Source organism: Homo sapiens, chromosome 17, assembly GCF_000001405.40.
Source record: "Homo sapiens chromosome 17, GRCh38.p14 Primary Assembly".
NCBI classification, from domain to species: Eukaryota; Metazoa; Chordata; class Mammalia; order Primates; family Hominidae; genus Homo; species Homo sapiens.
In genome coordinates, this window is record NC_000017.11 from 65,780,615 (window position 1) to 65,805,510 (window position 24,896).

At 37.0% G+C, this 24,896-nt stretch overlaps 1 protein-coding gene and 1 pseudogene across 23 annotated transcripts in view, besides 1 other annotated feature; both read right to left on the reverse strand.

Annotated features, from left to right (window-relative positions):
* CEP112 (centrosomal protein 112) overlaps positions 1–24,896 on the reverse strand; it is a 556,597-nt gene that overhangs the window by 145,078 nt on the left and 386,623 nt on the right. Inside the window, exon 2 of one of the 23 annotated variants that reach the window (NR_126542.2) lies at positions 23,779–23,821. The exons of the other annotated variants lie outside the window; for them this stretch is intronic. The gene's annotated coding sequence lies outside the window, so the exon portion shown is untranslated. The remainder of the gene's footprint in view (positions 1–23,778; positions 23,822–24,896) is intronic. 23 annotated transcript variants of the gene reach the window in all.
* Positions 9,607–10,170: an enhancer, noted in NCBI's record as "NANOG hESC enhancer chr17:63786339-63786902 (GRCh37/hg19 assembly coordinates)". NCBI's record gives its function as "activates a minimal SCP1, AML or CMV promoter by ChIP-STARR-seq in naive H9 embryonic stem cells {active_cell/tissue: H9 hESC(naive)}" and the evidence as "EXISTENCE:reporter gene assay evidence [ECO:0000049][PMID:30033119]".
* On the reverse strand, positions 16,482–17,291 carry LOC100419102 (calponin 3, acidic pseudogene; annotated as a pseudogene).

A 24,896-nucleotide genomic window follows, 5' to 3' on the forward strand; every position in this document is an offset into this window, starting at 1 on the left:
GATTTGACAAATGTCAAAGGAAACTGACTACTGTATTTAACAAATTTTAATAAGCATAATGTATACTTTAAATATACTTAACACAAAATTTACATGAGTGGCCATTCTGTGGTATAGTACTCTTAGGAAGCAGATAGAACACCTATGTCAAATTTTGACTTCAAAGATTTAAAAAATAGTGACATTGTTCAATGATCAAATGACATGAATCAGCCAAGTAATAAATTATTTGAATTATAAGCTTTGAATCTAGGCATTAGATGCCCCAATTTGGCATGCTCATAATGTCTTATTTTTTGTTTTTAAAATTTTTTACTTTTTGGTTCAATTGGGTAAGAAAAAAAGTAATGTATATTAATTGGAAAGTTTATAAAATATATTTGCACTAAGCTATGCTATGTCAGATTTGTAGACAGTTCAATATAAAACAGTGGTCTCAATACTTAACAAAAGCTCTATTTCCTATACTGGATTATTTTGAGTTTAGAATAGCTGCTGAAAGGACGTTCTTGAGATTTAAGCATTAGCTGTTTCTAATTTAAAATGACCTAGACTCAAGGATACAAAATCAATGTACAAAAATCAGTAGCATTTCTATACACCAATAACATCCAAGTTGAGAGCCAAATCAGGAATGCAATCTCATCTACGATAGCTACATACTCACAAAAATAGGAGGGGAAAGATCTCTGCGAGGAGAATTACAAACATTGCTAAAATAAATCATAGATGAAACAAACAAATGGAAAAACATTCTATGATCATGGATTGGAAGAATCAATATCATTAACATGGCCATACTGCCAAGGCATTTTACAATCTACAGATTCAATGCTATTCCTATCAATCTACCAATGTCATTTTTCACAGAATTGGAAAAAAAACTGTTATAAAATTCATATGGAACAAAAAAAAAAGCCCAAATAACCAAACCAATCCTAAGCAAAAAGAACAATGCTGGAGGGATCACATTACCTGGCTTCAAACTATACTATAAGGCTGTAGTAACCAAAACAGCATGGTACTGGTACAAAAACAGACACATCGATTCATGGAATGGAATAGAGAACACAGAAATAAAGATGCACATCTGCAGCCATCTAATCTTCAACAAAGTCAACCAAAATAAGCAATGGGGAAAGAACTCCGTATTCAAAAAATGGTGCTGGGATATAGATAGTGGGCTAGCCATATGCAGAAGAATGAAAATGGATCCCTTTTACCATATACAAAAATTAACTCAAGATAGATTAAAGACTTAAATGTAAGACCTCCATCTATAAGAATCCTAGAAGAAAACTCAGGAAACACCATTCTGGACCTTGGCCTTGGGAAATAATTTATGAATAAGTCTTCAAAAGCAATTGCAACAGAAACAAAAATTGACAAGTGGAACCTAATTAAACTAAAGATCTTCTGCACAGCAAAATAACTACCAACAGAGTAAACAGACACACTACAGAATAGGAGAAAATATTAGCAAACTATGCATCTGACAAAGGTCCATCCAGAATCTATAAGGAATTTAAACAACTCAAACAAAAAACAACCTCATAAAAAATGGGCAAAAGACATGACCAGACATTTCTCAAAAGAAGACATACAAGTGGCCAACAAACATATGAAAAAAAATGCCCCATATTACTAATCAGAGAAATCCACATCAAAACCACAATGAGATACCATCTCACACCAGTCAGAATGGCTATTACTAAAAAGTCAAAAAACATGTTGGTGAGGCTGCAGAGAAAAGAGAATGCTTATACACTGTTGGTGGGAATGGAAAGTAATTCAGACACTGTGGAAAGCAGTTTGGAGATTTCTCAAAGAACTAAAAATGGAACTACCATTTGACCCAGCAATCCCATTACTGGGTATACAACCAAAAGAAAGTAATTCATTCTACCAAAAAGACACATGTACATGAGTGCTCACTGCAGCACTATTCACAATAGCAAAACCATGGAATCAACCTAGGTGCCCATCAATGGTGTATTGCATAAAGAAAATGTGGTACATATATACCATGGAATACTATGCAGCCACAAAAAGGGCGAAATCATGTCCTTTGCAGCAACATGGATACAGCTGGAGGCCATTAGCCCAAGCAAATACCACATGTTCTCACTTATAAGTGGGAGCTAAACATTGGGTACTCATGGACATAAAGATGGCAACAATAGACACTGGGGACTACTAGAGGTGGGAGGGAGAAGAGGGTAGGGGTGGGAAAACTAACTGTTCAGTACTATGCTCAGTAACTGGGTGACAGGATCATTTGTACCATAGACTTCAGCATCACGCAATATACCCAGGTAACAAACCTGTACCTGTACCCACTGAATCTAAAATAAAAGTTGAAAAAAAAATAAAAATAAAATTGAAAAAGAAATATAAGACTATGCAAACTTTTAAGACAACATACATTATCTGCACTAAAAGTTTACTACTTTTCAAGAAAATATTTAAAAAAAAAGAATAATTCACATTTAAAAAATGGGTAAAGAACTTGAATAGGCATTTCTCAAAACAAGATACACAGAAGGCTAAAAGCACCTGAAAGTTATTTAACATCATTAGTCATTAAATAAATGCAAATCAAACACATTGAGGTACTGCTACATACCCAGTAGAATGGCAATAGTAATAATAATAATGATGATGATGAGAATAACAAGTGTTGATGAGAATGTGTCAAAATTTGAACTCTCCTAGATTGTTGACAAAAATGTAAAATGTTTCAGCTGTTGTAGAAAACAGTTTGGAAGTTTTTCAAAAAGTTAGGCATAGAATTCTTATGTGACCCAGCAATTACCACCCAGGTAAATACTCCAAAGAACTGAAAACAGGTACTCAAACAAATACTTGTACACAATTTATCATAACACTTCTATTCACAATAGCTAAAAGGTGGAAACAATTCAAATGTACATCAACCAATAAATGGATAAGAAAATTGTTGTATAAAAATAAATAAAATAAAATGACTTAGAGTGTATCTAGTTTTCCAGAATCATCTACATCAAGGCTGAATTACTTCGCCACTTCATTTTAATATAATATTCAAAATGTTTGAAAGCAATAAGTATGATGCCCATACAAAACATGTCTTATTTCCCCGTTCAGTTGACAAAAATAAGGTGTCCAGTTGGCTCTGTTGCTTTATAGTTGAATTTCCCATCACCCAGACCCTAAAATCTACTTCCACCATCTTTTTCATTACATAAAGTTCCTTTGATCGACTATTTCAACTGTTGCCAGGTGGTAAGCAGTAAAGCATGTGGTTAACAGCATGGGCTATGAAGTTAAACCAACCTGGGTGGTGTGACCATGGGCAAATCATTTAACTTTCCTGGGTATTATTTTATAACATGTAGATAAAGTGGACAATAAAGATTAAATAGGACTGAGGTTTAGCAATGTAGGAGTGATGCAAGTGCAAGATGGCAATGGATCAGAGAGTAGTGAGTCAGCACTGGAATGAAGACAAACACTAGGTTCTTTATGCGTGAGAAAATGGGAAAAATAAAATGCAAGGCAAGAGCGATCAAAAGGAGAATTTGGTAGACTGAAATCCTGGAGGTGAACTAGGCGAGTAATGTTAGGTCTAAGGCATGGCTGCATTTTTGCATGGTCTAAAGTGGAAACAAGATATAACAGAAGTGACTTTACTACAGCTGAGCTTATAAACTTGCAGGGTCAGACTGTTAGAAAAGACACCTACCAAAACAGTCTTTTACAGTAGATTCTGGTTACTCTTTCTTATTCATCTTTCCACTTTAAACCCAAAAGAACTATTTGCCTCAGCTTCTTTACTGGGGAAGCAATTTTCTTCCTGGCATGTCCCCAAGACTGGGGTGCTCTGCTACTTTTTCTTTTTGTTTGAGACGGAACCTCACTCTGTCGCCCAGGCTGGAGTGCAGTGGTGTGATCTTGGCTGGCTGCAACCTCTGCCTCCCGGGTTCACGCCATTCTCCTGCCTTAGCCTCCTGAGTAGCTGGGACTATGGGCGCATGCCACCATGCCTGGCAAATTTTTGTATTTTTAGTAGAGACGGGGTTTCACCATATTGACCAGGCTGGTCTTGAACTCCTGACCTCATGATCCGCCTGCCTCGGCCTCCTAAAGTGCTGGGATTGCAGAGTGAGCCACCATACCCAGCCAGATTTTCTATTTTTAATAACAGCTGTAGTAAGATATAATTCACATATCATAAAGTTCATAATTTAAAACTGCACCATTCAGTGGTTTTTAGTATATTCATAGATCTGTACATTTATCACCACGACAAAATTCTAGAATATTTTCATCACCTCAAAAAAACAAAAAACAACAAAAAAAGAACCCATCCCTATTAACAGTCACTTCCCATTCTCCCATCCTTTGAGCCACTGGCAACCACTAATCTATTTTCTGTCTCTAGGGATTTTTCCACTCTGGGCATTTCACGTAATTTAAATCATACAACATATGACCTTTCATGACCAGATTCTTTCACTTAGCATGTTTCCAATGTTCATCTATGTTGTGGAATGTATCAGTACTTCATTCCTTTTCCTAGTCAAATCCATTGTGTGGATATACCACATTTTGTTTATCCACTCCTCAGTCAAACATTTGAGTTTTTTCCACTTTTTGACTACTATGAATAATGCTTCTGTAAACATTCTTGTACAAGTTTCTTTGGGAAATATTTTTTCAGTTCTCCTGTGTGTACTTAGGAGTTGAATTGCTGAGTCATGTGGTAACTATGTTTAGCTTTTTGAGGAACTGCCAAACTATTTTCCAAAATGACTGCACCATTTTACAATCTCACCAGCAAAGTATGAAGGTTCTAATTTCTCCACATCCTTGCCAAAACTTTCGTCTGTCTTGTTGATTACATCCAGTCTAATGGGTATGAAGTGGTATCTCATTGTTGTTCTGATACATGATTTGTGATTATTTCCTTCTATCTGTGGGTTGTTCTTTTACTTTCTTGGAAGTTTCCTTTAAAGCTTTTCATTTTGATGAAGTTCAGTTTATCTATTTTTTCCTTTGTCATTTGTGCTTTTAGTGTCATATCTAAGAATTCTTTGCCTAATCCTGAAATGTCATGAAAATTTACTTGCATGTTTTCTTCTAAGAGTTTCATAGCATTTTTCTCTGATATTGCTTTTTTCTAAAAGTTTTATAGTTTTACCATTTATTTTTAGGTCTGTGATTCACTTTGAGGTCCTTTTATGTGTATCTTGTGAGGTAGAGGTTGAGCTTTACTCTTTTGCATATGGATATCTAGTTGTCCCAGCACTATTTGTTGAATTTCCATATAAATTTCAGGATCAGTGTGTCAATTTATACTAAAAAAGGCAGTTGGGATTTCGGTAGGATTGTGCTGAATCTGTATATCAATTTGGGTAATACTGGCATCTTAACAACGTTAAGTTTTCTGATCTGTAAATATGAATGCCTTTTCATTTATTTAGATTTTAATTTTTTCATTGATGTTTTGTAGTTTTCAAGATACATATTTTGCACTTCTTTTGTTAAATTCTATTCCTAAGTATTTAATTATTTCATGCTATTTTAAATGAATTTGTTTTCTTAATTTCATTATCAGATTGTTTACTCCTAGGGTATTGGAATACAATTGATTTTTCTATATTGATCTTATATCCTGCAACCTTGGTAAACTCTTATTTTTCAAACAGGTTTTTTTTTTGGTAGGATTCCTGAGAATTTTTCTGTACACAAGATTTTGTCATTGGAGGATAGAATTTTACTTCTTCCTTTCCGATCGGGATGACTTTTCTTTTCTTGCCAGACTTCCTAATTTCTGTCAGTCTATTAGATATAACATTTCATTAGTGTCTTATTTTTCATTTCCTTGGTTACTGACGATATGAGCAGTTCTTCATGTATTTATGGGCTACTGATATTTACACCTCTGTAAAATGCTGTTTTGTCTTTAGCCAATTCTTTTTTTTTTTTTTTTTTTTGCTGTTGTTGTTGAGGCAGGGTCTCACTCTGTCACCTGGGCTGGAATGCTGTGGTGCAATCACAGCTCACTGCAGATTTGATCTCCTGGGCTCAAGCTATCCTGCTGCCTCAGCCTCCTGAGTGGCTAGGACCACAGGCATGCACCACCACACCCGACGACCTTTTTATTTTTACTAGAGATAAGGTCTCACTATGTTGCCCAGGCTGGTCTCAAACTTTTAGGCTCAAGTGATCCGCCTGCCTTCGTCTCCCTAAGTGCTGGGATTATAAGCAAAGCTGCTACACCTGGCCTTAGCCAATTCTTTTACTAAACTCTTCATTTCTGACACATGCCAAATTTCTATGGCGTGTGTCAGAAATGAAGAGCTTAACAAAAGAATATTATGCCAAGTTTCCATAACTACATCTATATCATCTATATATATCAATATATGGCTTTATGTGCTCTCTATTCTGTTTCTTTGGTCAGTCTATCTATACTTGTACCAGTGCCAAACTACTAACGTCCATACCTTTGCAACAAATTTTGATTTTGTATGTGGTAGGAGGGAAATACTTTTGACTTTTTCTTTTTCAGAATAATTTTGGCTGCTCTTGGGCCTTAGGCCAGGCACAGTGGCTCACACCTGTAATCTCAGCACTTTGGGAAGCCGAGGTGGGAGGACTGCGTGAAGCCAGGAGTTCAAGGTCAGCCTGGACAACAAAGCAAGACCCCCATCTCTACAAAAAATTTTAAAAATTCAGCTGGGCATGGTGGTGTGCAACTGTAGTCCCAGCTACTTGGGAGGCTAAGGTGGGAAGATCACTTAAGCCCAGGAGTTCAAGGCTGCAGTGAGCTATAATCGCACCAGTGCACTCCAATGTGGGTGACAGTGAGATCCTGTCTTTAAAAATTAGATTTATTTTTGTCAGATAAATCCAAGGAATTGCATTAAATCTATAGGTCAAATTGAGGACAATTGACATCTTTAAGATACTTAAGGTATTCAAGATTTAGTGGGTATATTTCTCCATGATTTAGGTCTTCTTTAATTTCTTTTAAAACAGTTAAAAGTTCTCCAAATAGGACTTATACGGCTATTCTTAGATTCATTCCTATACACTTTCTATTTTGCTGTGTTAGCAGAATCATTTTTTAAATTATGTTTTCTGTTTCTTGCTGGATTATATATTTAGACAACTGCTAAACTGTCTTATTATTTCCAATAGTTTACTGATCCACTTAGGTTTTATGTATAGATTTTATGTACAGACAATCATATCATCAGTGAATAATATCAGGTTGCTTCCCTCTTTCTAATTTGTATCCTATTTCTTTTTCTTGTATAGCTGTGACCAATGGCATCTGTATTTCACTGTTGAACAGCAGCAGTGATTAACGGGCACCCTTCTCCTTTCCTGATTTTAAAGGGAATCCTTCTAACATTTCACCCTAAAAATGATGTTTGCTCTAAGTTTTTGATTAATATTCTTTATCAGGGTAAGGATACTCCCTCCTATTCCTAGCTTATTAAGATTATCACAGATATGAGTTGAATTTTGCCAAATGCTTTTCTTTACCTGAGATGATCACATGGTTTTTCTCCTTTCAGTGTGGCAACGTGATGGATTATATTAATGGATTTCTAACATGAAATCACCCTTGCATTCTTGCATTCAGTCCAGCTTGGTTGAAATGTATAAACATTTTTATGTACTGCTAGATTCTGTTTCTAAATTTTGGTTAGGAATTTTACACTTAAAATTAAATGTAAGATTGGTATGTAATTTGCTTTTTACTGTTCCTGGCTGACTTTCATATCAAGACTACACTGGCTTTAGAATAAATGGGGGATATTACTTCTTTTTTTCCTGTCACAGATTTTGTTTATTATTGGAGTTTTCTGTTCCTTGAATGTTTGGTAAGAACTTGACCAAAATCATTTGAGTCTGATGTTTTCTTTAATAAAATATTTAAAACTAAATGCTATATTTATTTAATTTCTACAGGACTATTAGAGTTTTCTATTCTTTCATTTAATCACGTTTTCTAAAAATGTTTCCATCTTATCCAGATTTTCAATTTTATTGGCATAAAGTTATTCATTAAATTATCTTTTCTATGTTTTTTGACTCAATCAGCAGTCATTTTTCCTATTTCCTCCTTTCCCTATTTGTGTCTTCTCCCTATTTTTCTGACCGGTCTTCTAAAAAGTTTATATTTTACTAGTCTTTTCAAAGGATCAAACTTTGCGTTTGCCGAATTACTGATTTTTAATTAAAACCTCTAACTCCTATGGCATCTATGTCCTTATTTCCTCCTGGTTCTCCAGGGACCTCTCTGACAATTGCTTATCGATCTATAGCTGGTTTTAAATAATTGCCCCATTCCATCTGCCCTTTCCTTACCATAGCAACCTCTCCCTTTTTAATCCATTCCGATAGTAAATCATCTTTTTGTTGATATGACTTCCAAATTCATCCCTAGCCACTACAGCCTTGGTACCCAGATCCAGACACCTCTCTGTGATGTCCCAAAGGCACTCAACTAACTGAACTCGATCATTTCTTCTTGAGTCTGTTCCTTCTCATCTTAGTTAGTGGCACTTACATTTAGACACCCAAATAAGAAACTTAGTAGAATTTTTTAGAATCCCTCTCTCTCGCTCTTGACAGTCCTGCCAACTTTTACTTCTAGATTTTCACCTTTCTCTCCTGAATTTTTCTAGTAGCCTTCTAACTTATTGTCCTATTCACTCTAGATATTTCATTTTTGCTGTCTGATATAGATCCACCCACCATCTTTCAACTGATACTCTATCTAAAGTATAAATATGATCATATCACTTTGTAATTAAAGAAGCAATTTTCATTGCTTCTTAGCAAATACTAAAGTTCAAGTTCCTTAATGGGGCATACAGTACCATTCAGGGCCAGGACTTTACCTCTCCAGCTTCATGTTTCTCTACTTCCCACTCTACCTTTTATGCCTCTGTGAACACCAGACTTTAGTTCCCTGAATATGCTATTTCACACCCTGTGTTTTTGTCCCATTTTTTTTTTCATGAATATCATTCATTTCCTTGGTAGGATCTTAATCATCTTGCAATAATCATTTGAACATCAGGAAGTCTTCCACAAAACCTCAAGAAATCTCAGTTTGGGCCAAGTCACATTTCTCTATCGGCCTATACACAATTATTTTATTGCTTATTATATTAAAATTATCTATACAACTAGACTGACAACTCTTTAAGGGGAGGGGGAATATGTTGTACATGTTAACTCCAAGCATCTAGCATATAATAGGATGCAAATTTAGCTTCCTTGAGAGAACTGGATCATAGCCCACCCTTCTACTCCAAGTCTATATCCTAACTGTTGCCTGACAGGCTCAGTGTGCCTCACAGGAAGGGAGTAGCAGCTGAAACTGACCAAAGGAACAGAGGAAAACAAAATGGGTAGCCTTGCCTCTTCCCTGCCTGTAGAAGAAGCTGGCAGCTTAAATCCTGGGCAAGAGTAGATTAGACAGTTTGCTACTGAAAGTGCTTAATTTGAGAATGCAGTATGGGACTTGGAAGGCAGAGCTTCTAGACAGGGGTAGTTCTTGACATTTGTGTCCTAAAGGAAAGAGAGCCATTTTTGGCTTTATAAGAAGAATCAGAAGCAAAGACTATAAGGGATCAAGGTTTCCAATAAACCAAGCTAGGGATCAGGGCCTGATTCAAATCCCAGCACGGATCTATGATGGGAACTGAGACCAAGGACCCAGGTAGAAGCCTGGGGAATAAGGAAAAAGGTGAGCAGTAACTAGGGAAGATGCAGATCATGACTACAAGGGCTCCTCAGGGGTCAGTTCAGTCGAGGCCCAGCAGGTGCTGAATGTGCAAGCTGCATTTCTATACTCTTGAAGCAGCAGTCCTCAAAAACCACCAGCTTGGGCCCAGCTGGCTTCAGTGACTGGGCCCAGTCTAAGTGCTCTAAATCATTCTCTCTTCAGTCTTAACCTCTCCAGTCCTCAGCTCCTTCGATCCTCGCATGGAAATAGCCTTAATTAGGACCTATATTTTCTAAACACAGGGCTCAGGCCATTTTCTGAAAGCTCTGCTTGCTTTTGGCTTTTCACAGTGATGCTCTAACATAGTGGCTCCCACCCAGGGGCCTTAGATTTAGGAGGCATCTCAACATTATCAGAGGACCTGAGGAAAAGCCTGTTAGAAGAGCTTGGGGCTTGTAAATAGAATCTCTGTGATCTTCTGCTAAGTTCTTCAAACTGTTCAGTCTCTTCTAACTAGGCCTTGGCAGAATCACTGCTAAACCTTCCATCTTAGTCTAACACCCTTGCGTTGGGGATGTACCTGACATACAGGCACCAACTGGCATTTTATTTCCTTTCAGACCAAAATCAGCACTGCAGGCTACCCTATCTATATCCCAATTACACTTTATTTTGATCCCATTTGGAATGGGGGGGAGGCTTAATCTTCATATGATTTTGGGGGGGATTTGATTAAGTCTAATGTCAGACTGATTTATTACAGCATTAGTGTAAATCTTTTAGATTTCACGAGAGGAAAAATATCAATAAAAGGATGACAGTAGGGGATGAAAAATAAAACAAGAAACCAAAACCTTGAGAAATAATTTTGTAAAGCTTAAATGTCTGTTAATGGGCTATAGCATTTAAAAATATTTCTCCAAACAGGATTAGAATGAAGAAAGAAAGTAGGAAAGATGATGCCAGAGTAACAGGAGAAAAACGCTTTTGAGCTTTTTCTACTGAATCAGCCACCAGGATCTTGTGGCCCAGGAATCTGATTTAAAAGCTCCCTGGTTGCTTCTGATAATCAGCTTTAGGTGAAGAACCACTGTTCTAGCTAATGAGGACAAAACAGAGGGCACTTCCCTAAGTAAAAGTATAAGGACAGTAATTGATACAAAACACATGATTTCTGCTAACCACTTCTGCCATATTATCTAGTTTCTATGAAAACTTTTTCTCTGAAAAGAACCCAACCAGTTGAGATTATCTATTCTAAATAAATGAATATCATCAACTTTGATAACCCCTAAAGAGTTTCTATAGTAACACAGAACAAAGATAATAACCATCAAGATCTAGGTAATCAAGACTGCTTAGTGTGCTTAAACTGGCTTACTTTAATGGTTTTAAATGCAGTAAAAACCAAAGAGCTCAGCTCTAAGGAATCAGACAGCATCGCTACAAGAATATTTAATTATGTGGTTCCCCCTAAAAAAACCCAAATAAAATACAATGAAATATATTGTTTAATCACAAAAGCAATTAAAATACATAAAGACAATTTTCACTGAGTCCGCAACTCTCAGCATGTAATTATTTATCTAATTCAAGTCATGCAGCTAGGTGTTGGAATTAACTTCTCTGAACTAGATACAAAAATGGAAAGTCATTTTGGGATTTGATCCTCATTCATTTTCAACCAAATATCCAAATTCATTTCCAATTCACACAAGAACTGCCGCAGCTTTACCTAAATCAGTTTTCTACAAGTTAAACAGCGCTCCTACACTCAGATGTGATTGTGGAACTACTTTGATCTTTATTCCCAAACTTATTGCTCCATGTAATCCATGACAAAATATAATGTGATTTACTATATCTCTATATGACAGCACAGCAGCTGACAGAACTTAATAATTTAGCATAAGAAAAAAACCTTCTGGCACCAAAATACACAGATCGTAATGGGGACTCTTTAGTATCAGTTTACAATGAAGCCTATACAAGCTGATCCTAAGAACTTCAAAACAATTCTTTTTTTTCATCATGCATTTAATGAAGGAGATTTTTATTCCTTAAACATGCTTTGTAGCTGCAAGCAAGTAATTCGGGAACATTTTGTTTTTGTTCTCATTAAAACAATGCAGAACAAGTTACATACCGATGTCTCTTTCTCAAAGAAAAGTACTAAATTTCTCCATTTTCAAGTAAGTGAAGAAATACATCATACAGGAAGCTAAAAACTCTTTAAAAAAAAAAGTAAATTTACGTTGTGTTATGTTACATAAAAAGCAGAGATTAGATAATTAGGTACTGTATAGAGAACCATCAGAATTAGGTGAAATCAAGACCTGTCTCTGAAGCTGCTAGAGCTGAATTTTCTCTGACCTGCACATGTACCCCTGAACTTAGATGTTTGAAAAAAGGAATAGAAGCTATATACCAAAAGAGGGTACTGTTAAGTCAGAACATATGGCTGGCACTGATATGTTTTAGTAGTGGGTATTTAAAAAAAATATTTCATGGAGGAAATTGCCTATACCAAAGATTATATAACTTCCTTAGTAATCTAGAAGGTACTGTTAATTCATTTTTAGTAATCAAGAAAATACACGATTGAACACCTCTTTTTAGCTGGACGCCTAGTGGGCACTGAGGATGTAGCCATGTCCAAATCGAAGCTCCTGTCTACAGAAAGCTTACCCTGCACTGGTGGGGGGCGAGGGAGGGGGCACACACAATAAACATATAGACCAATAACGGAGTAACAGAGGGATGCATGAAATATGAAATAATAACCCAGAGTAAGAGAGTGGAGGGTGAAGATAGCTCATTTCTTTTTAGCACTGAATAATATTCCATTGTTTGGGTAGTACAGTTTATTTACCCATTCATTTATTCAGAAAACCAAATACCGCATGTTCTCACTTATAAGTGGGAGCTGAATGATGAGAACACATGGACCCATGAGGGAGAACAACACACAATGGGGCCTGTTGGAAGGTGGGGAGTGGGAGAAGGGAGAGCATCAGGAAGAACAGCTAATGGATGCTGGGCTTAATACCCAGGTGATGGGATGATCTGTGCAGCAAACTACCATGGCACATGTTTACCTATGTAACAAACCTACACATCCTGCGCATGTACCCCTGAACTTAAAAGTTGGAAAAAATAAACAAAAAATAAAAACTAAAAATGTCTTCCTCTAATTCCTACAAGAACTCACACTTTATCTCACATATTCTCTCTCTCTCTGCCCTTGAGGCAACAGGTGGCAAACTTACCTAAATCTGCTTTGCTAATACTTTGAACATAGACACATTTTCCTTTATTTCTCAGCCTTACTTAGTCCATCATTTATGAAAACTGGATCTAAAATTGAGATAAATCTGTACCCTCTAGGTTTGTTAATATATTCTTCTGCTCCAATAATTGTTCTACAGAAAAATAGCATTTGTGTATTCCTGGAAAAGTTCTTCTGGAAAGGATAATCTTTGTTGTACAATAATCCTAACTTCATTACCTTTCTCTTATTCCTTCAGTTTGACCTATATCTTATTTCTCTGTGAGTGCCCCCATTCTACTCTCCATAGCTACGAAGCAGTGATTATGGAAAAGAACTATTCCTGATGAAACAAAAAGAATGATAGTTTTCTTGAATAATTCAGATATTCTCTTTCCACTGAAACTTCTGTCTATTCAACATTTATGGAATGCCTGCTATATTCTAGGTAGTCTTCCAGGCACTGGGGATACAGCAGTGAACAAAACGGGCAAAATTTCTGTTGTCATAGAAGTTACACTCCGATGGGGAGTAATAAAAAGCTGTATTGGCATGTATAGTCTTCTGTTGTAGGGTAAACTCACTTAAGGCCATATTCTTAATAATCATTTTCATCTTTGTACGCATCCCCATGACAAAATATTTCGCAAACCATAGAAAAAGGATAAATATTCATTAAAAGAATAGACAAATGATCTGTTTCATAGCTTCAATCTTTCTCCTTCCACTGGCTCATTTCCTTTGCCAAATCTGAAGACAGAATAAGCTACTTCTCAAGCTGCTTTCTCCTTCTTTCCTTTCCTTCCCTCTATAATGCATTTAAAGGTTAGTCTGTGCCTACAATTTCTACTCTCTAATTTCTCCACATCCCACCACTTTACTGAAATTGGTTTACTGAGGGTCACCAATTACCTACAGGAAACTCCCCCTGGCGAAACTCTCAACTTCTCTAATTTCAGAAAAATATTTCCCATTGCCTACTAGAAAGCTCCAAATGGGTATCCTGATGGCATTAAACATGTGAACTCCATCATTTTCTCCTTCGAATGTACCTTTCCTCTATGCTCCCTCTGTAGGTTGATGGACGGCATGACAACCTTGGACACCCTCCTCAAGTCTCCCTTTCCTTTCCACCCACACCCAGTCAGGAATCGCACCTGCGGCTTCTACCGTCTCCCCTTCCACCACCACTGCCTTAGTCCAAAACCTGTGTCACTTCCCAAGACAACTGCAATAGTCTTTCAACCAGTGTTCCCTTTCAACAATAACAGTGGTCACTTAGAATGTGAGATCCACAAGGGTGGGGACTGTGATCTGTTTTGTTCATTGATATATTCCAAGTACATGGAACAGTATCTGACACAAGGCAGGTATTCAACAAACGTGTTGAAAGAACGAATAAACTAAGTGCTAGGCATATAAAGCCCTTTAATATATACTCTCTCATTTGATCAACACAAAACCTATGAGGCTGGGATTGTCATCCTTATTTTATAGATGGCAACACTGTCACTTGGTAAGCTGTCCTAGTCACAGAGCTCATAATAGTGGGAGGTAGGATTTGAAGCCAGGTCAGCCAGTCTCACTCTGAAACACCAGCTCATGATCACACTACTAACTGTCTAAACCACTGAGATTCTTAAAAATTGGTTATTATGATTAAAGGGGTAGCTACTATTTAATGAATTCTTACTAGGTGCCAAGGCTTTGCATAATTACTTCACCAATTACAATTCTACAGGAGAGGTATTACCCCATTTTACAATTATGTAACCTGAGGCTCAGTGAGTTTAAGCAACTTGTCAAAGAACAGTAAGCTATAAAGCAGGAATTCAGACTCCAAAATTCTAGACTACCCCTGGTTTCTTACAAGTACTATACTAGAATTATTTCTCTAAAACTCACCATTTTGGCTGGGCACAGTGGCTCATGCCTGTAATTCCAGCAGTTCAGGAGGCTGAGGCAGGAGGATCACTTGAGGTCAGGAGTTCAAGACCAGCCTGGCCAACATGGCAAAACCTCTTCCCTACCAAAAGTACAAAAATTAGCTGGGCATGGTGGTGCGCACCTGTAATCCCAGCTACTCAGGAGGCTGAGGCATAAGAATCGCTTGAACCCAGGAGGCAGAGGTTGCAGTGAGCTGAGATCACGCCACTGCACTCCAGCCTAGGCGACAGAGTGAGGCTCTGTCTCGAAATAAATAAATAAATAAATAATAAAAAATAAAACTTACCATTTTATTCCACTAAAAAATCTTCAATGGTGCCTAATCCACAAAAAATAAGGCCCAACCCCCTGAGTAAGGCATTTAACACTGTTCACACTTCGGTAATTAGCTCTCATTTACCCATTTCAGGTAGAGTTTGCCCTGGCCACACGGGGTCTGCCCTTTGAATGTTTTCTGGGCCTCTATATTCTTCCTCGAGTGCTCCCAACAGTTAGAAAGCCTTTGCCACTTGTTCCAGCCCATCCTAGAAGAACCAGTTAAAGTTACATCTCTCCCAAGCTTTCTCAGATTCCACCACTGAGAATGATGAATTCTGCTTTCCCCTTGATTACATGAGCCCTGTGTACCTCTAATGATGGCTTCTGTAACAGTTTGTCTGTAGCAGTTATGTAGATATGTTTGTCTTCCTTTATTAGACTACGATTCCTCAGAACACAGGAACCTTCTCTGAAACCCTTATAAGATTAGCACAGTTCTTTGTGCAAAATCAACCACTGCAGCCTGCCGAATGAACTGAGAGAATGGCCTGGGGCTCATCTGTTGCAGGTAGGATAATACATCAACTCTGTATATGAGGGTATTTTTCTTTTGTACTCATTGATCATTACTTTAAAAATTAGCAAACAATACTTAAGCAATATAAACATTTAAATTTCTTCTACGTAGAAATCAGATACTAAACTCTATTTTTTAAAAAACCTCACTGAAGCGGGAAGATCCCTTGAGCTGAGGAATTCAAGGCTGCAGTGAGCTCTGATTGACCCTGACTCTAAAAGCAAAACAAAAACAAAAATGCCTCAAACACCTCATACAGTTTGAAAATATCAGTTAAAGTCGAATATTGTAAAAATGTATGTGTCTTTAATATTGGTGCCTTGGTCATTCATTATATTAATAATATCTTGGGTTGGGCATGGTGGCTCACGCCTGTAATCCCAGCACTTTGGGAAGCTGAGGTGGGTGGACTGATTGAGTCCAGGAGTTCAAGAGCAGCCTTGGCAATATGGTAAAACCCCATCTCTACAAAAAAAAAAAAAAAAAAAAAGACAAGAAAAAAAATTAGCTGGGCTTGGTGGTGCACACCTGTAGTTCCAGCTGCTTGGGAGCCTGAGGTAGGAGGAACACCTGAGCCTGGGGAAGTCGAGGATGGAGTAAGCTGTGATTGTGCCACTGCACACCAGCCTGAGTGATGGAGTAAGACTCTGTCTCAAAAACAACAACAACAACAACAACAACAACAACAAAACCCATCTTTGATAGCCATCATGGTATGTACCATGATATTCATTTGGATATTAAGACTGATGATCAGTACCACAGATTTCATATTCTTCTGTTCCCATTCCTTGGCTTCCACAAGAGTGACTGGTTCTGCTGGAGCAGCATAACATCTGGAGTCATACACTCACCACCCAAGCCCGGACACAACTTGTTGATATTCATCTGCAAAGGGATTGTTGAGATGTCCACTGATTACAATGGTAGCTTCTGGACATAGATGCATCTTCTAGTACCCAGTACCAGCATCTAACCCTGGCTCATTTGTTACTGCCTGTTTGCTAGCTTATTCTTGAGTACTTAAACAGTTTGTTTACCATTTGGGAGGATAAAGATACCTGCTGATCTCTTAGGCTGTCATACCTACCTCACTAGCATGTTTGTTTATCCTATCTGCAAATTCAGCTTATGATTTTCCTTCATCAAAATGTCTTGCTTTTCCTGTATGACCTTGACTCCAATGTCATGCTGACAGACATGAGTCATGTTTCCAGTTTCAAAATATCACTTGATTATAAAAATGTCCAGTAGCTTCATACCACACACCTGAATAGTTTAGAAAGGAAGACACGGCAGTTCAAGGAAGGCTCATTGACTTTCTTCATTGAATCTGGTTAAGTTTGAAGAGGATTAAGTCATTTTTTAAGCCCAGTTGAAAGCTGGTTCAGTGCTTATGCTAGTCACCTCTTCTATCCACTTGTGAAAATCTTCTTTTGCCTGACAATCATATTTAATCTTGTTCTTGACCCTGATAAATCAGTGGAGGGACCCTTCATGTAGAGTATCATTGTGGTTCTAGTAGTGGGGGAGGCTGCACACGCATGCGAGGGTCTCTGATGCTACTGGCTAAAGTGGAAACTGGTGGGAGATGCTGGCATCTTACTTGCATAGCGCCCCCTGGAGATGACTGGGTGGTATATGAGTGTGGGCCTCAGTCATATGGTCTAGCTGAGTTTGCAGAGCTTCAAGGTCCCTTCTGGAATCCCACTGGTTTTCCATCACTATGGTTCTCAAGAAAATGCCCCCAGCCCTCTACACTCCTTAGAGCTTTAGGAATTGTCAGCCTATGACCCTGATCAATGGAGAGTTACCTCCTGATCTCCTCTCCAGGTATTTAGTCATAAAAAAAACACATTATATATTTATAACTTCAAAAATTTGAAACCTATTATCTTCTCATATGTATCTGAGTGAAATATTCTTTATCTGAATTAGTGTATACTGGGGAAAGGCTAGCTGGCTGGCTGGCTTCTAAGAATACTCAAGCACCTTTTCTGAAGTCATCAGTAAGATCCACCATGCATCATAATCTGGTTCCCCATTTTTGTACAAAAATTCAATGTTGTGAGTACCCCTGTGTGGTTATTTTAAAAGACTGACTCACGGACTAAAGTTATAGTAGACCTAGGTTCTAGGGATATCTCCCTACTCTCCTATGTTCTACTCATTATTCAATTTCATTTAGATTTGCACATCACCTTGCTTGCATTCTAAACCAGCCTGATGACATGCTTAATACCTGTTATTTGTCACAAGCACTGATCTCCAGTACTATAATCGCAGAACAGAATTTGGAAAAATCCGAGAATTTTTACTGTCTCTTGTTTAGAAAGGTTATAGTTAATTGCTTTAGAATCCAAAGCTACTGACATCCTTGAAGTGCTTTTCTGATGAACTATGTGACCATGGTTTTCAATCCACTAAAAAATTAAGAGCAAATAAAATTCTACATGAAAATGCATTAGGAACCAGAATTTGTTCCGGAGTGCTTTAGTGAATCTTAATTTTTATTAATGACCGAAAGCCTTCAGAATATTAAAATACACAAAAAATGAACTAACTCATTTACTAGCCAAAGAGGCAGAAACCAAATGTTTGAATTTCCTTGACTGGTCAAAGGTATAATACACATATTTTACCCTAAATTAGACTCAAAAGTTGTTCCCTTCCACTTGGTTTAAAAGGTTTAAGTATATGATAATGTAGTATTTAATTCTCTAGTGTTACTTCCCTTTTATTTTGAGGTGAAATTAAGAGAAAATATTTTCTAGGCAAAAAATTTCCTGAATAAGGTGTATTTTCTTTCCCCTCCAATTCTGAAACAAATCTGTGGCTAACAAGAATATCTACCAATAGAAACACTTTCCTCTTGACAGCTTAAAGAAGCTTCCAATGCTGGGATACGGAGCTGGGAATGTAAGCTGGCACCGGATCCTCTACCTTACCCACATACATCTCATTGTTGGTTATATCTCATGTCTGTCTCCCACTCAATTCTGGGGCTTCAGGGTCAACAATTCAGGGTTTTAGTCAAATCAAGGGGTCACAGGCCAAGAAACTGGATTTCATTTTGGATGCAGTGGGATGGGGAAGAGGTCTGTGAGCAGGGAATAAAATGAATAGAAGTCCAGTTGGGAAGATGAATCCTCTGGCACTGTGGAGAATGATCCAGAAGAGCAGAGGAGACAACTGTGGCAATAGTCAAAGAGCACTGCTGCCCTTAGGCAAGTCCTAAAGCAACTACAGTTCTGAGGAGGCAAAGGCAGTGAAAAGGGGCTATCTCAGCCTTGTGCCTCTTTCTGAAACAGAAAGCCACATTGACGCAAGTCAAACAACTGAACAAAAGGAAATAACTAAACAAAAGGTAATAATCCTTTATGCACCATCTACCTTTCTACCCTTCTACCATTGCTCACACACACACTGGCACCCACACACTGTCACATTCACAAATGGATTTTTCTATAGTTGTTTTATGTTTAAAATTTTTTAAGTTTGGGTATATTTCTCAGAGTACATCTAGAAAAAATGCAAGATGATGTATTAAGAGATTTATATAAACTACAGGTGAGTCATACATAATTCCTCGGAAACTAAGAATAAGAAACTTGTCCTCTGAACATGAAATCAGTTTCTCACATGTTCTTCTGCTTCTTGATAGACTCTTTTTCAATATTACTAACTGCCTTTTCTTCCATAGCCATCTCTTTAAAAAACTGAGATATAACTCATTTACCACAAAACACACCTTTTAAGAGTATACATTTTAATGGTTTTTACTGTATTCTTAAAGTTGTACAACCATCACCACAATCTGATTCTGATTTTTTTTTTCACTACCCAAAAAGGAAATCAATAGCCATCATTCCCCATTTCCCTCGACTGAAACTCTAATCCACATTCTGTTTCTACGGATTTGTCTATTCTGAACATTTCATATAAATGTAATAATACAATATGTGTGCTTTTGTGTCCAGATTTTTTTTATTTACATAGTATTTTCAAGGTTTATCTGTGTCATAGTATGTATCAGGAACTCATTACTTTTTACAGCTGAGTAATCTTTCATTTTATGGATATACCACATTTTGTTTACCTATCCATCAGTGACTGGGAATTTGGGTTGCTTATACTTTTTGGCTATTTATGAATCATGCTGCTTTGAACATCTGTGCACAAGTTTTAATGCAAACCTACATTTTCAATTATCTTGGTATATCCCCTAGGAGAGGAAATGCTGGATTTTATAATTCTAAGTTTAATTTTTTGAGAAACCATCAAACTGTTTTCTAAAGTGGTTGGGCTGTTTTAAATTCCCATTGTAAAATACGAAGATTCCAATGTGTATTCATGTCTTTTCCAACACTTCCTATTGTTTGTCTTTTTTAATACAGCCATCCTAGGGGGTGTGAACTAGTGTTTCACTGTGGTTTTGGTTAGCATTTCCATAATGACTAATGGTGTTGAGCATCAGTGGTGTTGATCTGCTTACTGGTCATTTGTATACATTCTTTGGAGAAATGTCTATTCAACTCCATTGCCCATTTGTCAGTTGTATTATGTCTTTTTGTTGTTGACTTGCAAAATTCTTTATATAGTCTATTAGGTTTTTATCAGCTGGATGATTTTCTCCCATTCTGTGGGTTGTCTTCATTTTCTTTCTTTCTGTCTTCTTCATCTTCTTTTTTTTGTCACTCTGTCACCCAGGCTGTAGTGCGCTGGTGCACTCACTGCAACCTCTGCCTCCTGGGCTTAAGCTATCCTCCAACTTCAGCTTCCTGAGTGGCTGGGACTACAGGCACATGCCACTACATCTGGATAATATTTCTAATTTTTGTAGAGACGGGGTTTCACCATGTTTCCTAGGCTGGTCTGAACTCCTGGACTTAAGCAATCCTCCTGCCTTAGCCTCCCAAACTGTTGGGATTACAGGCATGAGCCACTGCACCCAGCCATCTTCATTTTCTTGATGTTGCTGTATTCTTTGAAGTACAAAAGTTTTTAATTTTGATGAAGTCCAATTTACCTCTTTTCTCTTTTATCACTTCTGCTTTTGTTGTGATATTTAAGAAATTATTGTCTTATCCAAGGTCATAAACATTTTCTGGTATGTTTTACACTTTTATAAGTTTTATAATTTTAGTTCTTACATTTAGGTCTCACAAGTTGCTATTGACAAATTATCTCGGTTTGTGTTTATCTGAGAATATTCTTCATTTTAAAAGGACATTACTGGAAGTAGAATTCTTGGTTAACAGTGTTTTTCTTTAAGGGCTTTTAGTATTTCATTCCACTGCTTTCTGACCTTCATGGTTTCCAAAGAGAAATTAGCTGTTAATCTTTATTTCTTTAGACATAATATTTTAGTTCTTTGAACATATTTCAAGTAACTTATTTAAAGTCTTTGTCTATTAAATCCAACATCTGTGCTTCCTCAGGAACAGTTTCTATTATTTTTCCCCCTGCCCACGGGAAATAAAGTGTGCCCATGCCACACTTTGTTTCTTTGCATGTCTCATAATTATTTTGCAGAAAACTGGACATTTTCAATATTTTAGTATGGCAACTCTGGAAATCAGATTCTCTTCCTTCCCCCAGGGTTTGTTGTTGTTGATGGGGACTTTTGTTGTAATAGTGGTGGTGATACTGTTTATTTAGTGACTTTTCTGAACAAATGCTGTAAAGTCTGTGTTCTTTGTCATGTGTGGCAGCTGAAGTTTCTGCTTGGCTAGTTAGTGGTCAGCTAATGATTGGGTAGAGGTTTCTTTAAATGCCTGCAAACAATAAGTCTTCCAGTTTTCTCATTGCTTTTATGGAAAAGAGACTTTGTGGAGGCTTTTACTCTGTCATTTTCCCTGACATCCTCTCAGTACACTTGTTCACTGTTGTTTGCTACAGGGTTACATTCTTTCCCCTTTTCTCTTATTCCACAAAATTTCTCTGGGCAATATCATACACATCTAGGTCTTAAAATTCTACCCCAAATTTATTGACTTGCAAAACTACATCCTCAGCATAAACATTTTCCCTGGAAGATGTATTTGTAAATGATCAATAGTCATTTCTATGTGTATGTTTTACAGATGTCTCTAGCTCAACAGGTCTTAAACCACTCACCCACTCAGTCACACAAACTAGAAAACTGGGAGGCACGCTAGACTACTCCTTTATCTTCAATTCTTCACTAAAACACCTCCTATCAAATCTTACAACATTCCACCAAGCTCATCATTATCTTATCACATTATACATACCCCATGGAAAGCATTTATTTACATGGATGTTCTTACTAGACTATAGGCATCTTGTGAGCAGGAATTGTATATATTTATCATCTTATTCTAGGACTCATCGTGATGCCTAACTCATTATACTCAGCCAAATGCTTTATCTGTGTAGCAGGATTGTATTTTCCAAAGATGGCCGCATCAATATATTCCTCTTCCCACACGCTCTTTTCCCTATATAGTGTCGATGCTCCATCAAGGGGTGGAGTCAAGGAGCTCTCATCTCTTGAATGTGGGAAGACCTTTACAAGTGCCTTCACCAAATGAATGTGACAGAAATGACACCACTTGAAATCTAAGGCTAAGTCTAAAAGGTGATATGAATTCCACCTGGCTTTCTGTCCCAGGACATGAGCCATGGAGTACTGAGCTAACATGTGAGATATCCAGGTACCCTGAAGCTGTCATGTAGACAGACTACATAGAGATAGAGATGCCAGAGGAGCTCCAGCTATATGTATCTTCTCTCTCCAAGTACCAGGAGCGTAAGTGAAGAAGACTTCAATATGACCTCAGTTCCAGTTACTGTCTGACTGAAACCACATGAGACACTCAAGGCCAGAACCATTCAGTTAACGAGCCTCCAAATTCCAGAAACAGTAAGAGATAATATTGCTGTTTGAAGCCACTACACATTTTGTGGTGATTTTGTTATACAACATTAGATAACTAAAACAATAAATGAAGAAATGAAGATTAGAGTGGAGATATATCAATATCCCCTTTCATTTCTCTACCATGCATCATTTTAAAGTGGAAAATAGTTTTAAATATGTGCTTAAAACAAAAGTATCTCAAATTTATATCAAAAAGTTTCAAGATGTAATTAATGTGGATATAAAATGAACATACATCTAGCAAGGAAGTCCTTTCTCCAAATACCTTAGGTGTTACATTATTTTCTCAAAATATAAATGACTGCACTATGTAATCAAGTATCACATGCCATCTTAAAAGGTAAAACCCCTGTTCTTTACTCCCTCCCAATAGATAATTTCATGAAGATAATTTCTGGATCATCCACGTTAGAAGTTTCTAGTACTATAATATCTAAGTGCATCATGTTCATGCATTGACTGCTCTTAGGCAAACTTTTGCTAAATTAAATGTCTTACTGTGTTTTTGTAGTTTCCTAGTCAAAAGAGCATTTTTATGAATCATGAGCATTTCTGTTGATTCTTATTTTTTACACAGCAAAATTTAATAAACTTAAAAATAGTTTATAATGATGGACTATTCAATATATCCTAGATGTAGACAAATCCACTGTGTGTGTGTAGCACAAGTTTAACCTCAAGCTAATAGCTGTTAATATCTTAGGATTACATTTCTTTAGAACAGATCCTTATTTAACATAGATAAAAGAAACAACATTAAATGAAACCTCATCCAGAAGAATTTTCTAACTTTCAATAACCTCTCAGCATGTTTTAAAAAACGAGTTGGGATTAATTACTTTTAATTTTTAAAAATGTGTTTCGTCTGGTTTCCCTAAGCCAAAAGACATGTTAATTTAAATAAACACAAGAGAAGCTTTGTATTTTGATTCACAAATATAAAAGAAAATTTTTCTGAATTATTAAAATTAGATGAGCCGCTCATAACACTGTTTTGTATTCTATGTCTATAAAGCTCTTTTCAAAAGAACAAATTTCAGTCATTTATCCATTTCAAATGTAGATGAATACATCTAATTACTCACTCAACACGTATGTTTGAAGCCCCATATCGACACAAAATTTCTCCTAGAAGAGATATTAGGAGAAATTTCCTTAATTGACATTTCATTTTGCTTAATACATTAATCATAATTTCCATTAAGTGTGTTTCTGATGACATCATTTAAAAAGTATCTTCTCTGAGTTTTAATTTCTAATTCCAGTCTGCTGCATTCTGGGCAGAATAAGAAACTGAATGAAAAAATTACTACTGCTTTGTGAATTATTTAAAATGCATTATATAGAGGGTAAATATAAAATTTATTTTCAAAACTAGACAAATTTTGAGAATAAAAGTAATGTTAAGAATTATACTGAAAAATAAGCATTGAAACTGGAACCTGTGGTCATTCTAAATATGAATCATATCCTCAGTATGATATTAACAATATTAAATATCACCATGTTAGGTGAGGGCCACAGTCCATCTAGCAAAGGACAAACTCTGTACAATTAATTTTTTTTTTTTTTGAGACGGGGTCTCACTGTGTCACCCAGGCTGGAATGCAGTGGTGTCTCAACCTCCACCTCCTGGGTTCAAGCAATCCTCCCACCTCAGCCTCCAGAGTAGATTGCAGTACAGGTGCACACTACCACATGTGGCTAATTTTTGTATTTTTAGTAGAGATGGGATTTTGCCATGTTGACCAGGCTGGTCTCAGACTCCTGAGCTCAAGTGACCTGGCCACTTTGGCTCCCAAAGTGCTGAAATTACAGGCAGGAGCCACCATACCTGGCCTACAAGTAATCTTTATAGTGGCAGGAAGAGTCATAAGTGTCCTCATTAACATCATCATTTTCATGTGTTTTATGATATTTTACTATTTCTATGACTACCGTAATACCTCACTTGCCCAGAGATCAGAGTTCCAGTGGCAATGGTGTGTATTATTTAGGAGCTGCCCTTAGTCCCTTGCTCATGCTACTTGTTGTATAAACTCAGTCAACAAATTAAAAGCAGCTGCCAAAAGCATAAAGTAACAACTGAAAGAAAAGGGAGGAGACGGAAGAACTATAAAAAGGAGAGAAAACTGGGATAACAATGTGGGGTAGATTTTATTGTAGGGAATCTTTTATGTGGTATCAAAACATTCTCAATGAT